General features: G+C 50.5%; 1 non-coding gene and 1 pseudogene across 2 annotated transcripts; one reads left to right on the forward strand and one right to left on the reverse strand.

Annotated features, from left to right (window-relative positions):
• Nucleotides 1-226: 226 nt before the first annotated feature.
• On the reverse strand, nt 227-8,668 carry CDC27P10 (cell division cycle 27 pseudogene 10; annotated as a pseudogene). The gene has a single exon (XR_430343.5). The product of XR_430343.5 is annotated as a cell division cycle 27 pseudogene 10 (transcript).
• A 6,428-nt stretch (nt 8,669-15,096) lies between these two features.
• On the forward strand, nt 15,097-15,188 carry MIR6724-4 (microRNA 6724-4). Its single transcript, NR_128717.1, has one exon. It is a non-coding gene; the product is annotated as a microRNA 6724-4 (primary transcript).
• The last annotated feature ends 307 nt before the right edge of the window (nt 15,189-15,495 follow it).

Consider the following 15,495-nt stretch of genomic DNA (forward strand, 5'->3'; position numbering starts at 1 on the left):
CTGTCTGTTTCTCTCTCTGTCTGTCTCTCTCCCTCCATGTCTCTCTCTCTCCCTCTCACTCACTCTCTCTCCGTCTCTCTCTCTCTTTCTGTCTGTTTCTCTGTCTGTCTGTCTGTCTGTCTGTCTCTCTCTCTCTCTCTCTCTCTCTCTGTTTGTCTTTCTCCCTCCCTGTCTGTCTGTCTGTCTCTCTCTCTCTGTCTCTGTCTCTGTCTCTCTCTCTTTCTCTTTCTGTCTGTTTCTCTCTATCTCTCGCTGTCCATCTCTGTCTTTCTATGTCTGTCTCTTTCTCTGTCAGTCTGTCAGACACCCCCGTGCCGGGTAGGGCCCTGCCCCTTCCACGAGAGTGAGAAGCGCGTGCTTCGGTGCTTAGAGAGGCCGAGAGGAATCTAGACAGGCGGGCCTTGCTGGGCTTCCCCACTCGGTGTACGATTTCGGGAGGTCGAGGCCGGGTCCCCGCTTGGATGCGAGGGGCATTTTCAGACTTTTCTCTCGGTCACGTGTGGCGTCCGTACTTCTCCTATTTCCCCGATAAGCTCCTCGACTTCAACATAAACTGTTAAGGCCGGACGCAACACGGCGAAACCCCGTCTCTACTAAAAATACAAAGCTGAGTCGGGAGCGGTGGGGCAGGCCCCTGTAATGCCAGCTCCTCGGGAGGCTGAGGCGGGAGAATCGCTTGAACCAGGGAAGCGGAGGCTGCAGGGAGCCGAGATCGCGCCACTGCACTACGGCCCAGGCTGTAGAGTGAGTGAGACTCGGTCTCTAAATAAATACGGAAATTAATTAATTCATTAATTCTTTTCCCTGCTGACGGACATTTGCAGGCAGGCATCGGTTGTCTTCGGGCATCACCTAGCGGCCACTGTTATTGAAAGTCGACGTGACACGGAGGGAGGTCTCGCCGACTTCACCGAGCCTGGGGCAACGGGTTTCTCTCTCTCCCTTCTGGAGGCCCCTCCCTCTCTCCCTCGTTGCCTAGGGAACCTCGCCTAGGGAACCTCCGCCCTGGCGGGGGCCCTATTGTTCTTTGATCGGCGCTTTACTTTTCTTTGTGTTTTGGCGCCTAGACTCTTCTACTTGGGCTTTGGGAAGGGTCAGTTTAATTTTCAAGTTGCCCCCCGGCTCCCCCCACTACCCACGTCCCTTCACCTTAATTTAGTGAGTCGGTTAGGTGGGTTTCCCCCAAACCGCCCCCCCCCCCCCCGCCTCCCAACACCCTGCTTGGAAACCTTCCAGAGCCACCCCGGTGTGCCTCCGTCTTCTCTCCCCTTCCCCCACCCCTTGCCGGCGATCTCATTCTTGCCAGGCTGACATTTGCATCGGTGGGCGTCAGGCCTCACTCGGGGGCCACCGTTTTTGAAGATGGGGGCGGCACGGTCCCACTTCCCCGGAGGCAGCTTGGGCCGATGGCATAGCCCCTTGACCCGCGTGGGCAAGCGGGCGGGTCTGCAGTTGTGAGGCTTTTCCCCCCGCTGCTTCCCGCCTCAGGCCTCCCTCCCTAGGAAAGCTTCACCCTGGCTGGGTCTCGGTCACCTTTTATCACGATGTTTTAGTTTCTCCGCCCTCCGGCCAGCAGAGTTTCACAATGCGAAGGGCGCCACGGCTCTAGTCTGGGCCTTCTCAGTACTTGCCCAAAATAGAAACGCTTTCTGAAAACTAATAACTTTGCTCACTTAAGATTTCCAGGGACGGCGCCTTGGCCCGTGTTTGTTGGCTTGTTTTGTTTCGTTCTGTTTTGTTTTGTTCGTGTTTTTCCTTTCTCGTATGTCTTTCTTTTCAGGTGAAGTAGAAATCCCCAGTTTTCAGGAAGACGTCTATTTTCCCCAAGACACGTTAGCTGCCGTTTTTTCCTGTTGTGAACTAGCGCTTTTGTGACTCTCTCAACGTGCAGTGAGAGCCGGTTGATGTTTACTATCCTTCATCATGACATCTTATTTTCTAGAAATCCGTAGGCGAATGCTGCTGCTGCTCTTGTTGCTGTTGTTGTTGTTGTTGTTGTCGTCGTTGCTGTTGTCGTTGTCGTTGTTGTTGTCGTTGTCGTTGTTTTCAAAGTATACCCCGGCCACCGTTTATGGGATCAAAAGCATTATAAAATATGTGTGATTATTTCTTGAGCACGCCCTTCCTCCCCCTCTCTCTGTCTCTCTGTCTGTCTCTGTCTCTCTCTTTCTCTGTCTGTCTTCTCTCTCTCTCTCTCTCTGTGTCTCTCTCTCTCTGCCTGTCTGTTTCTCTCTCTCTGCCTCTCTCTCTCTCTCTCTCTCTGCCTGTCTCTCTCACTGTGTCTGTCTTCTGTCTTACTCCCTTTCTCTGTCTGTCTGTCGGTCTCTCTCTCTCTCTCTCCCTGTCTGTATGTTTCTCTCTGTCTCTGTCTCTCTCTCTCTTTCTGTTTCTCTCTCTCCGTCTCTGTCTTTCTCTGACTGTCTCTCTCTTTCCTTCTCTCTGTCTCTCTCTGCCTGTCTCTCTCACTCTGTCTTCTGTCTTACTCTCTCTCTCTGCCTGCCTGTCTCTCTCACTCTCTCTCTCTGTGTGTCTCTCTCTCTCTTTCTGTTTCTCTCTGTCTCTCTGTCCGTCTCTGTCTTTCTCTGTCTGTCTCTTTGTCTGTCTGTCTTTGTCTTTCCTTCTCTCTGTCTCTGTCTCTCTCACTGTGTCTGTCTTCTGTCTTAGTCTCTCTCTCTCTCTCTCCCTGTCTGTCTGTCTCTCTCTCTCTCTCCCCCTGTCTGTTTCTCTCTCTCTCTCTCTCTCTGTCTTTGTCTTTCTTTCTGTCTCTGTCTCTCTCTCTCTCTCTGTGTGTCTGTCTTCTGTCTTACTGTCTTTCTCTGCCTGTCTGTCTGTCTGTCTCTCTCTGTCTGTCTCTCTCTCTCTCTCCCCCCTGTCGGCTGTTTCTCTGTCTCTGTCTGTGTCTCTCTTTCTGTCTGTTTCTCTCTGTCTGTCTTTCTCTCTCTGTCTCTTTCTCTCTGTCTCTCTGTCTGTCTCTGTCTCTCTCTCTGTCTCTCTCTCTCTGTGGGGGTGTGTGTGTGTGTGTGTATGTGTGTGTGTGTGTGTGTGTGTGTCTGCCTTCTGTCTTACTCTCTTTCTCTGCCTGTCTGTCTGCCTGTCTGTTTGTCTCTCTCTCTCTGCCTGTCTCTCTCCCTTCCTGTCTGTTTCTCTCTCTTTCTGTTTCTCTCTGTCTCTGTCCATCTCTGTCTTTCTCCGTCTGTCTCTTTATCTGTCTCTCTCCGTCTGTCTCTTTATCTGTCTCTCTCTCTCTTTCTGTCTTTCTCTCTCTGTGTATCGTTGTCTCTCTCTGTCTGTCTCTGTCTCTGTCTCTCTGTCTCTCTCTCTCTCTCTCTCTCTCTGTCTGTCTGTCCGTCTGTCTGTCTCGGTCTCTGGCTCTCGCTATCCCCCGCCCTCTCTTTTTTTGCAAAAGAAGCTCAAGTACATCTAATCTAATCCCTTACCAAGGCCTGAATTCTTCACTTCTGACATCCCAGATTTGATCTCCCTACAGAATGCTGTACAGAACTGGCGAGTTGATTTCTGGACTTGGATACCTCATAGAAACTACATATGAATAAAGATCCAATCCTAAAATCTGGGGTGGCTTCTCCCTCGACTGTCTCGAAAAATCGTACCTCTGTTCCCCTAGGATGCCGGAAGAGTTTTCTCAATGTGCATCTGCCCGTGTCCTAAGTGATCTGTGACCGAGCCCTGTCCGTCCTGTCTCAAATATGTACGTGCAAACACTTCTCTCCATTTCCACAACTACCCACGGCCCCTTGTGGAACCACTGGCTCTTTGAAAAAAATCCCAGAAGTGGTTTTGGCTTTTTGGCTAGGAGGCCTAAGCCTGCTGAGAACTTTCCTGCCCAGGATCCTGTGTGACCAAAAGTGCCTCTGCTGGGAGCTGGGATCCTCGGGACCATGCTTGCTAGCGCTGGATGAGTCTCTGGAAGGACGCACGGGACTCCGCAAAGCTGACCTGTCCCACCGAGGTCAAATGGATACCTCTGCATTGGCCCGAGGCCTCCGAAGTACATCACCGTCACCAACCGTCACCGTCAGCATCCTTGTGAGCCTGCCCAAGGCCCCGCCTCCGGGGAGACTCTTGGGAGCCCGGCCTTCGTCGGCTAAAGTCCAAAGGGATGGTGACTTCCACCCACAAGGTCCCCACTGAACGGCGAAGATGTGGAGCGTAGGTCAGAGAGGGGACCAGGAGGGGAGACGTCCCGACAGGCGACGAGTTCCCAAGGCTCTGGCCACCCCACCCACGCCCCACGCCCCACGTCCCGGGCACCCGCGGGACACCGCCGCTTTATCCCCTCCTCTGTCCACAGCCGGCCCCACCCCACCACGCAACCCACGCACACACGCTGGAGGTTCCAAAACCACACGGTGTGACTAGAGCCTGACGGAGCGAGAGCCCATTTCACGAGGTGGGAGGGGTGGGGGTGGGGTGGGTTGGGGGTTGTGGGGTCTGTGGCGAGCCCGATTCTCCCTCTTGGGTGGCTACAGGCTAGAAATGAATATCGCTTCTTGGGCGGAGGGGCTTCCTTAGGCCATCACCGCTTGCGGGACTACCTCTCAAACCCTCCCTTGAGGCCACAAAATAGATTCCACCCCACCCATCGACGTTTCCCCCGGGTGCTGGATGTATCCTGTCAAGAGACCTGAGCCTGACACCGTCGAATTAAACACCTTGACTGGCTTTGTGTGTTTGTTTGTTTCTGAGATGGAGTCTTGCTCTGTCCCCCAGGCTGGAGTGCAGTGGCGTGATTTCAGCTCACTGGAACCTTTGCCTCCTGGGTTCAAGTGATTTTCCTGTTTCAGCGCCACCATGGCCGGCTCATTTTTTTTTTTTTTTTTTTTTTTTTTTTTTTTTTTTTTTTTTTGGTAGACACGGGGTTTCACCCTCTTTCATTGGTTTTCACTGGAGATTCTAGATTCGAGCCACACCTCATTCCGTGCCACAGAGAGACTTCTTTTTTTTTTTTTTTTTAAGCGCAACGCAACATGTCTGCCTTATTTGAGTGGCTTCCTATATCATTATAATTGTGTTATAGATGAAGAAACGGTATTAAACACTGTGCTAATGATAGTGAAAGTGAAGACAAAAGAAAGGCTATCTATTTTGTGGTTAGAATAAAGTTGCTCAGTATTTAGAGCTACCTAAATACGTCAGCATTTACACTCTTCCTAGTAAAAGCTGGCCAATCTGAATAATCCTCCTTTAAACAAACACAATTTTTGATAGGGTTAAGATTTTTTTAAGAATGCGACTCCTGCAAAATAGCTGAACAGACGATACACATTTAAAAAAATAACAACACAAGGATCAACCAGACTTGGGAAAAAATCGAAAACCACACAAGTCTTATGAAGAACTGAGTTCTTAAAATAGGACGGAGAACGTAGCTATCGGAAGAGAAGGCAGTATTGGCAAGTTGATTGTTACGTTGGTCAGCAGTAGCTGGCACTATCTTTTTGGCCATCTTTCGGGCAATGTAACTACTACAGCAAAATGAGATATGATCCATTAAACAACATATTCGCAAATCAAAAAGTGTTTCAGTAATATAATGCTTCAGATTTAGAAGCAAATCAAATGATAGAACTCCACTGCTGTAATAAGTCACCCCAAAGATCACCGTATCTGACAAAATAACTACCACAGGGTTATGACTTCAGAATCATACTTTCTCTTGATATTTACTTATGTATGTATTTATTTTTTTTAATTTATTTCTCTTGAGACGGCGTCTCGCTCTGTCGCCCAGGCTGGAGTGCGATGGTGTGATCTCGGCTCACTGCAACCGCCACCTCCCTGGGTTCAAGCGATTCTCCTGCCTCAGCCTCCCGAGTAGCTGGGACTACAGGTGCCCGCCACCACGCCCAGCTAATCTTTATACTTTTAATAGAGACGGGGTTTCACCGTGTCGGCCCGGATGGTCTCGATCTCTTGACCTCGTGACCCGCCCGCCTCGGCCTCCCAAAGTGCTGGGATGACAGGCGTGAGCCACTGAGCCCGGCCTTCTCTTGACGTTTAAACTATGAAGTCAGTCCAGAGAAACGCAATAAATGTCAACGGTGAGGATGGTGTTGAGGCAGAAGTAGGACCACACTTTTTCCTATCTTATTCAGTTGATAACAATATGACCTAGGTAGTAATTTCCTATGTGCCTACTTATACACGAGTACAAAAGAGTAAAACAGAGAGACTGCTAAATTAAAGGGTACGTGAAGTTCTTCATAGTAACTCCGTAAACTGGAACACTGTCAAAAAGCAGCAGCTAGTGAATTGTTTCCATGTATTTTTCTATTATCCAATAAGTGAACTATGCTATTCCTTTCCAGTCTCCCAAGCACTTCTTGTCCCCATCACCACTTCGGTGCTCGAAGAAAAAGTAACAAATCAAGGAACACAACTAAAGAAACACACACACAAACCAAAGACAACTACAGCGTCTGCAAAAGTTTGCTAGAAGACTGAAACTGTTGAGTATAAGGATCTGGTATTCTACGATCATGAGTTCACTTCAGAGTTTGTTCAAGACATACGTTTCGTAAGGAAACATCTTAGTTAGAAGTTATTCAGCAGTAGGTACCATCCCTAAGTATTTTTCACCAAATTCGTGACAATAAAGAGCTATCTAACCAGAAAAATTAGCGAGTACCGGCACCATCCATAGGGCTTTGTCTTTACGCTTCATTAGCACTTACCATGCCTTACAATGTCTAGGATTGACCCTGATAGCATTTCGAAAACAAGCTAATGCTTTGTCCAGTTCTTCAGTGAAGACAAGCTCACGCCCTAATGCGCTATAGGCATAAGCATCATTTGGATCCACTTCGAGAGTTCTCTGGAAGAATTGAATCGCAATATCGTGTTCCCGTTGCAGACCGAAACAGTTCCCTGCAGCACACCAGGCCTCTGGCTGGCGAATTTTTATCCATGTCTGTGAAGTCTTTGGACAGAACTGAAAGAGCAACCTCTTTCGGAGGATGCCAAAGTGTTGTAGAGTAGATCTCCATGCCTTCGACTCTGTAATTCTCAATCCTCCTAACCTCTGAGAATTGTCTTTCAGCTTGCGTGGACTCTGAAAGTTTACAATAGGCCCTTCCGATTTGGCACAGTACCCAACCGGTATTGCAGTGGTGAGAAGCTAGATGGCTCAAGATGCTGATAGCTTCTTTGCCGTGGTAAGAACACAAAGCTAAATAACCTTTCCCCCTTTCACGAAGAAGGCTCATCAAGCCTTCCGCTGCTGCTTTTTGTAGATTAAAAGCCTGAATCTGAGGCGCGATTGTGGCTATTTTCCCTTCTGAAATGACGGAAGAGTCCAATTTTGTCACTTCCAGGCTATCACTTATGTTCGGTGGAGTTATTGCTCCTTTATTAGTTTTACTTTTGGTTCTTCTGTTTGGGATTTTAGGTGGAAACTTCATTTTTAATTTTCTCCTATTCTCCTCGGTTGTGGAGCTGTCACTAGTCAAGAGTCGTGAATTTCTTCGAGGCGGTGCATTTGGGGGAGATGCCATAGTGGGGCTCAATACCTGAGGTGTTGCCCTTGTCGGCGGACCAGAACTTTGTGTTTTTGCAAGGACTGGAGTTACCTTTCGGCTCTTTCCCCTCTGCGAGAAGACAGACGGTGTTCCGGTTTGGCCGATTCTGGCAACAGGCTTTTTTGAAGGGGCTCCGGTGGATGGCACGTCAATGACAGACGGTGTCTCATACCAGTGCAGTTTTGTCAATAGGGTCCGTCTCCGGGACTTGGGGTTTCTAATGGCAAAATGCCAACACTTGGGGTTAATGGACTAACAGCTGCTGGTCCTCCTAATAAACTTCGACCAGTTTTTGGTTTATGTTGAACCTGTTTAGATCATATGGAAGTTCCTGTTCCCAGTGGGACAGTATCAGGTGAAAGGACAGCTGAATCGATAGAAGACACTGGGGAGTCTGTATTCAAGGAGTACTTTGAATTGGAAGATTCTAAATTCCATCCGTTTCATTCGACGGTGTCCTGGGGTGTTTCCGTAAGAACGGTCTCGGGCTGTCTGTGACATAAACTAGGACGAGGTCCAAGTGTTGTGGCGCAACACTTGGACAGGCAGTTGCTAAAGCTCTCTAGAGAGGTGAATCAAAATGTTTGGTCAGGATCTGGCTTTTCCCCCCTATTTCACATCATGATTCAAAGGGACACCAGAGGAAAGGATTTCAACGAAGGCTCTTTTGGTCACATTCTGATCCTTTGGTAAGCCGATCTGTCTTGCAATATACATGTCCCGACGATGGAAGGGGAAAGCGAGCTGAATCACCAAACTCAGGAACGATAATATCATCGTGGCTTTTCTGCTTATGAAACACTCCACCCGATAAGATTTGATCCCCTTCTGCAAGCTTGCTGAGATCAACACAACATTTCGCAAGCAGGCATTTGCATTGCGGGGTAGTACAACTGTGTCCTTTCAAGAGTCTATATGTTTTATAGGCCTTTCCTGAGCGGTAAGAACAGGTCGCCAGTAAGAACAAGGCTTCTTCTGAGTGTACTTCTGCATAAAGGCGTTCTGCGGGGGAAACCGCATCTCGGTAGGCATAGTGGTTTAGTGCTTGCCATATAGCAGCCTGGACGGGTCCCTGCAGCACCGCCATCCTCGAGGCTCAGGCCCACTTTCTGCAGTGCCACAGGCACCCCCCCCCCCCCCATAGCGGCTCCGGCCCGGCCAGCCTCGGCTCATTTAAAGGCACCAGCCGCCGTTACCGGGGGATGGGGGAGTCCGAGACAGAATGACTTCTTTATCCTGCTGACTCTGGAAAGCCCGGCGCCTTGTGATCCATTGCAAACCGAGAGTCACCTCGTGTTTAGAACACGGATCCACTCCCAAGTTCAGTGGGGGGATGTGAGGGGTGTGGCAGGTAGGACGAAGGACTCTCTTCCTTCTGATTCGGTCTGCACAGTGGGGCCTAGGGCTGGAGCTCTCTCCGTGCGGACCGCTGACTCCCTCTACCTTGGGTTCCCTCGGCCCCACCCTGGAACGCCGGGCCTTGGCAGATTCTGGCCCTTCCTGGCCCTTCAGTCGCTGTCAGAAACCCCATCTCATGCTCGGATGCCCCGAGTGACTGTGGCTCGCACCTCTCCGGAAACATTGGAAATCTCTCCTCTACGCGCGGCCACCTGAAACCACAGGAGCTCGGGACACACGTGCTTTCGGGAGAGAATGCTGAGAGTCTCTTGCCGACTCTCTCTTGACTTGAGTTCTTCGTGGGTGCGTGGTTAAGACGTAGTGAGACCAGATGTATTAACTCAGGCCGGGTGCTGGTGGCTCACGCCTGTAACCCCAACACTTTGGGAGGCCGAGGCCGTAGGATCCCTCGAGGAATCGCCTAACCCTGGGGAGGTTGAGGTTGCAGTGAGTGAGCCATAGTTGTGTCACTGTGCTCCAGTCTGGGCGAAAGACAGAATGAGGCCCTGCCACAGGCAGGCAGGCAGGCAGGCAGGCAGAAAGACAACAGCTGTATTATGTTCTTCTCAGGGTAGGAAGCAAAAATAACAGAATACAGCACTTAATTAATTTTTTTTTTTCCCTTCGGACGGAGTTTCACTCTTGGTGCCCACGCTGGAGTGCAGTGGCACCATCTCGGCTCACCGCAACCTCCACCTCCCGCGTTCAAGCGATTCTCCTGCCTCAGCCTCCTGAGTAGCTGGGATTACAGGGAGGAGCCACCACACCCAGCTGATTTTGTATTGTTAGTAGAGACGGCATTTCTCCATGTGGGTCAGGCTGGTCTCGAACTGGCGACCCCAGTGGATCTGCCCGCCCCGGCCTCCCAAAGTGCTGGGGTGACAGGCGTGAGCCATCGTGACTGGCCGGCTACGTTTATTTATTTATTTTTTTAATTATTTTACTTTTTTTTAGTTTTCCATTTTAATCTATTTATTTATTTACATTTATTTATTTATTTATTTATTTACTTATTTATTTATTTTCGAGACAGACTCTCGCTCTGCTGCCCAGGCTGGAGTGCAGCGGCGTGATCTCGGCTCACTGCAAGCTCCGCCTCCCGGGTTCACGCCATTCTCCTGCCTCAGCCTCCCAAGTAGCTGGGACTACAGGCGCCCGCCACCGTGCCCGGCTAACTTTTTGTATTTTGAGTAGAGATGGGGTTTCACTGTGGTAGCCAGGATGGTCTCGATCTCCTGACCCCGTGATCCGTCCACCTCGGCCTCCCAAAGTGCTGGGATGACAGGCGTGAGCCACCGCCCCCGGCCTATTTATCTATTTATTAACTTTGAGTCCAGGTTATGAAACCAGTTAGTTTTTGTAATTTTTTTTTTTTTTTTTTTTTTTTGAGACGAGGTTTCACCGTGTTGCCAAGGCTTGGACCGAGGGATCCACCGGCCCTCGGCCTCCCAAAAGTGCGGGGATGACAGGCGCGAGCCTACCGCGCCCGGACCCCCCCTTTCCCCTTCCCCCGCTTGTCTTCCCGACAGACAGTTTCACGGCAGAGCGTTTGGCTGGCGTGCTTAAACTCATTCTAAATAGAAATTTGGGACGTCAGCTTCTGGCCTCACGGACTCTGAGCCGAGGAGTCCCCTGGTCTGTCTATCACAGGACCGTACACGTAAGGAGGAGAAAAATCGTAACGTTCAAAGTCAGTCATTTTGTGATACAGAAATACACGGATTCACCCAAAACACAGAAAGCAGTCTTTTAGAAATGGCCTTAGCCCTGGTGTCCGTGCCAGTGATTCTTTTCGGTTTGGACCTTGACTGAGAGGATTCCCAGTCGGTCTCTCGTCTCTGGACGGAAGTTCCAGATGATCCGATGGGTGGGGGACTTAGGCTGCGTCCCCCCAGGAGCCCTGGTCGATTAGTTGTGGGGATCGCCTTGGAGGGCGCGGTGACCCACTGTGCTGTGGGAGCCTCCATCCTTCCCCCCACCCCCTCCCCAGGGGATCCCAATTCATTCCGGGCTGACACGCTCACTGGCAGGCGTCGGGCATCACCTAGCGGTCACTGTTACTCTGAAAACGGAGGCCTCACAGAGGAAGGGAGCACCAGGCCGCCTGCGCACAGCCTGGGGCAACTGTGTCTTCTCCACCGCCCCCGCCCCCACCTCCAAGTTCCTCCCTCCCTTGTTGCCTAGGAAATCGCCACTTTGACGACCGGGTCTGATTGACCTTTGATCAGGCAAAAACGAACAAACAGATAAATAAATAAAATAACACAAAAGTAACTAACTAAATAAAATAAGTCAATACAACCCATTACAATACAATAAGATACGATACGATAGGATGCGATAGGATACGATAGGATACAATACAATACGATACGATACAATACAATACAATACAATACAATACAATACAATACAATACAATACAATACGCCGGGCGCGGTGGCTCATGCCTGTCATCCCGTCACTTTGGGATGCCGAGGTGGACGCATCACCTGAAGTCGGGAGTTGGAGACAAGCCCGACCAACATGGAGAAATCCCGTCTCAATTGAAAATACAAAACTAGCCGGGCGCGGTGGCACATGCCTATAATCCCAGCTGCTAGGAAGGCTGAGGCAGGAGAATCGCTTGAACCTGGGAAGCGGAGGTTGCAGTGAGCCGAGATTGCGCCATCGCACTCCAGTCTGAGCAACAAGAGCGAAACTCCGTCTCAAAAATAAATACATAAATAAATACATACATACATACATACATACATACATACATAAATTAAAATAAATAAATAAAATAAAATAAATAAATGGGCCCTGCGCGGTGGCTCAAGCCTGTCATCCCCTCACTTTGGGAGGCCAAGGCCGGTGGATCAAGAGGCGGTCAGACCAACAGGGCCAGTATGGTGAAACCCCGTCTCTACTCACAATACACAACATTAGCCGGGCGCTGTGCTGTGCTGTACTGTCTGTAATCCCAGCTACTCGGGAGGCCGAGCTGAGGCAGGAGAATCGCTTGAACCTGGGAGGCGGAGGTTGCAGTGAGCCGAGATCGCGCCACTGCAACCCAGCCTGGGCGACAGAGCGAGACTCCGTCTCCAAAAAATGAAAATGAAAATGAAACGCAACAAAATAATTAAAAAGTGAGTTTCTGGGGAAAAAGAAGAAAAGAAAAAAGAAAAAAACAACAAAACAGAACAACCCCACCGTGACATACACGTACGCCTCTCGCCTTTCGAGGCCTCAAACACGTTAGGAATTATGCGTGATTTCTTTTTTTAACTTCATTTTATGTTATTATCATGATTGATGTTTCGAGACGGAGTCTCGGAGGCCCGCCCTCCCTGGTTGCCCAGACAACCCCGGGAGACAGACCCTGGCTGGGCCCGATTGTTCTTCTCCTTGGTCAGGGGTTTCCTTGTCTTTCTTCGTGTCTTTAACCCGCGTGGACTCTTCCGCTCGGGTTTGACAGATGGCAGCTCCACTTTAGGCCTTGTTGTTGTTGGGGACTTTCCTGATTCTCCCCAGATGTAGTGAAAGCAGGTAGATTTGCCTTGCCTGGACTTGCCTGGCCTTGCCTTTTCTTTCTTTCTTTCTTTATTACTTTCTCTTTTTCTTCTTCTTCTTCTTCTTCTTCTTCTTCTTCTTCTTCTTCTTCTTCTTCTTTTTTTTTTTGAGACAGAGTTTCACTCTTGTTGCCCAGGCTAGAGGGCAATGGTGCGATCTCGGCTCACCGCACCCTCCGCCTCCCAGGTTCAAGCGATTCTCCTGCCTCAGCCTCCTGATTAGCTGGGATTACAGGCATGGGCCACCGTGCCTGGCTGATGTTTGTACTTTTAGTAGAGACGGTGTTTTTCCATGTTGGTCAGGCTGGTCTCCCACTCCCAACCTCAGGTGGTCCGCCTGCCTTAGCCTCCCAAAGTGCTGGGATGACAGGCGTGAGCCACCGCGCCCAGCCTCTCTCTCTCTCTCTCTCTCTCTCTCTCTCTCTCTCTCTCTCGCTCGCTTGCTTGCTTGCTTTCGTGCTTTCTTGCTTTCCCGTTTTCTTGCTTTCTTTCTTTCTTTCGTTTCTTTCATGCTTGCTTTCTTGCTTGCTTGCTTGCTTTCGTGCTTTCTTGCTTTCCTGTTTTCTTTCTTTCTTTCTTTCTTTTGTTTCTTTCTTGCTTGCTTTCTTGCTTGCTTGCTTTCGTGCTTTCTTGTTTTCTCGATTTCTTTCTTTCTTTTGTTTCTTTCCTGCTTGCTTTCTTGCTTGATTGCTTTCGTGCTTTCTTGCTTTCTTGTTTTCTTTCTTTCTTTTGTTTCTTTCTTTCTTGCTTCCTTGTTTTCTTGCTTTCTTGCTTGCTTGCTTTCGTGCTTTCTTGTTTTCTTGCTTTCTTTCTTTTGTTTCTTTCTTGCTTGCTTTCTTGCTTCCTTGTTTTCTTGCTTTCTTGCTTGCTTGCTTTCGTGCTTTCTTTCTTGCTTTCTTTTCTTTCTTTCTTTTCTTTTTCTTTCTTTCTTGCTTTCTTTTCTTTCATTCATTCATTCTTTCTTTCTTTCCTTTCTTTCTTTCTTTCTTTCTATCTTTCTTTCTTTCTTTCTTTCTGTTTCGTCCTTTTGAGACAGAGTTTCACTCTTGTTTCCACGGCTAGAGTGCAATGGCGCGATCTTGGCTCACCGCACCTTCCGCCTCCCGGGTTCGAGCGCTTCTCCTGCCTCAGCCTCCCGATTAGCGGGGATTACAGGGAGGCACCCCCACGCCTGGCTTGGCTGATGTTTGTGTTTTTAGTAGGCACGCCGTGTCTCTCCATGTTGCTCAGGCTGGTCTCCAACTCCCGACCTCCTGTGATGCGCCCACCTCGGCCTCTCGAAGTGCTGGGATGACGGGCGTGAGCCACCGTGCCCGGCCTGTTGACTCATTTCGCTTTTTTATTTCTTTCGTTTCCACGCGTTTACTTATATGTATTAATGTAAACGTTTCTGTACGCTTATATGCAAACAACGACAACGTGTATCTCTGCATTGAATACTCTTGCGTATGGTAAATACGTATCGGTTGTATGGAAATAGACTTCTGTATGATAGATGTAGGTGTCTGTGTTATACAAATAAATACACATCGCTCTATAAAGAAGGGATCGTCGATAAAGACGTTTATTTTACGTATGAAAAGCGTCGTATTTATGTGTGTAAATGAACGAGCGTACGTAGTTATCTCTGTTTTCTTTCTTCCTCTCCTTCGTGTTTTTCTTCCTTCCTTTCTTCCTTTCTCTCCTTCTTTAGGTTTTTCTTCCTCTCTTCCTTTCCTTCTTTCTCTCTTTCTGTCCTTTTTTCCTTCGTGCTTTATTTCTCTTTCGTTCCCTGTGTTTCCTTCTTTTTTCTTTCCTCTCTGTTTCTTTTTCCCTTCTTTCCTTCGTTTCTTTCCTCATTCTTTCTCTCTTTTTCGTGTTTCTTTCCTTCCCGTCTGTCTTTTAAAAAATGGAGTGTTTCAGAAGTTTACTTTGTGTATCTACGTTTTCTAAATTGTCTCTCTTTTCTCCATTGTCTTCCTCCCTCCCTCCCTCCCTCCCTCCCTGCTCCCTTCCCTCCCTCCTTCCCTTTCGCCATCTGTCTCTTTTCCCCACTCCCCTCCCCCCGTCTGTCTCTGCGTGGATTCCGGAAGAGCCTACCCATTCTGCCTCTCCGTGTGTCTGCAGCGACCCGCGACCGAGTCCTTGTGTGTTCTTTCTCCCTCCCTCACTCCCTCCCTCCCTCCCTCCCTGCTTCCGAGAGGCATCTCCAAACACCCACGCGCCGTGGGTTGTCTTCTGACTCTGTCGCGGTCGAGGCAGAGACGCGTTTTGGGCACCGTTTGTGTGGGGTTGGGGCAGAGGGGCTGCGTTTTCGGCCTCGGGAAGAGCTTCTCGACTCACGGTTTCGCTTTCGCGGTCCACGGGCCGCCCTGCCAGCCGGATCTGTCTCGCTGACGTCCGCGGCGGTTGTCGGGCTCCATCTGGCGGCCGCTTTGAGATCGTGCTCTCGGCTTCCGGAGCTGCGGTGGCAGCTGCCGAGGGAGGGGACCGTCCCCGCTGTGAGCTAGGCAGAGCTCCGGAAAGCCCGCGGTCGTCAGCCCGGCTGGCCCGGTGGCGCCAGAGCTGTGGCGCGTCGCTTGTGAGTCACAGCTCTGGCGTGCAGGTTTATGTGGGGGAGAGGCTGTCGCTGCGCTTCTGGGCCCGCGGCGGGCGTGGGGCTGCCCGGGCCGGTCGACCAGCGCGCCGTAGCTCCCGAGGCCCGAGCCGCGACCCGCGGGGACCCGCCGCGCGTGGCGCGGGAGGCTGGGGACGCCCTTCCCGGCCCGGTCGCGGGTCCGCGCTCATCCTGGCCGTCTGAGGCGGCGGCCGAATTCGTTTCCGAGTCCCCGTGGGGAGCCGGGGACCGTCCCGCCCCCGTCCCCCGGGTGCCGGGGAGCGGTCCCCGGGCCGGGCCGCGGTCCCTCTGCCGCGATCCTTTCTGGCGAGTCCCCGTGCGGAGTCGGAGAGCGCTCCCTGAGCGCGCGTGCGGCCCGAGAGGTCGCGCCTGGCCGGCCTTCGGTCCCTCGTGTGTCCCGGTCGTAGGA

Source organism: Homo sapiens, chromosome 21, assembly GCF_000001405.40.
Source record: "Homo sapiens chromosome 21, GRCh38.p14 Primary Assembly".
Lineage (NCBI taxonomy): Eukaryota > Metazoa > Chordata > Mammalia > Primates > Hominidae > Homo > Homo sapiens.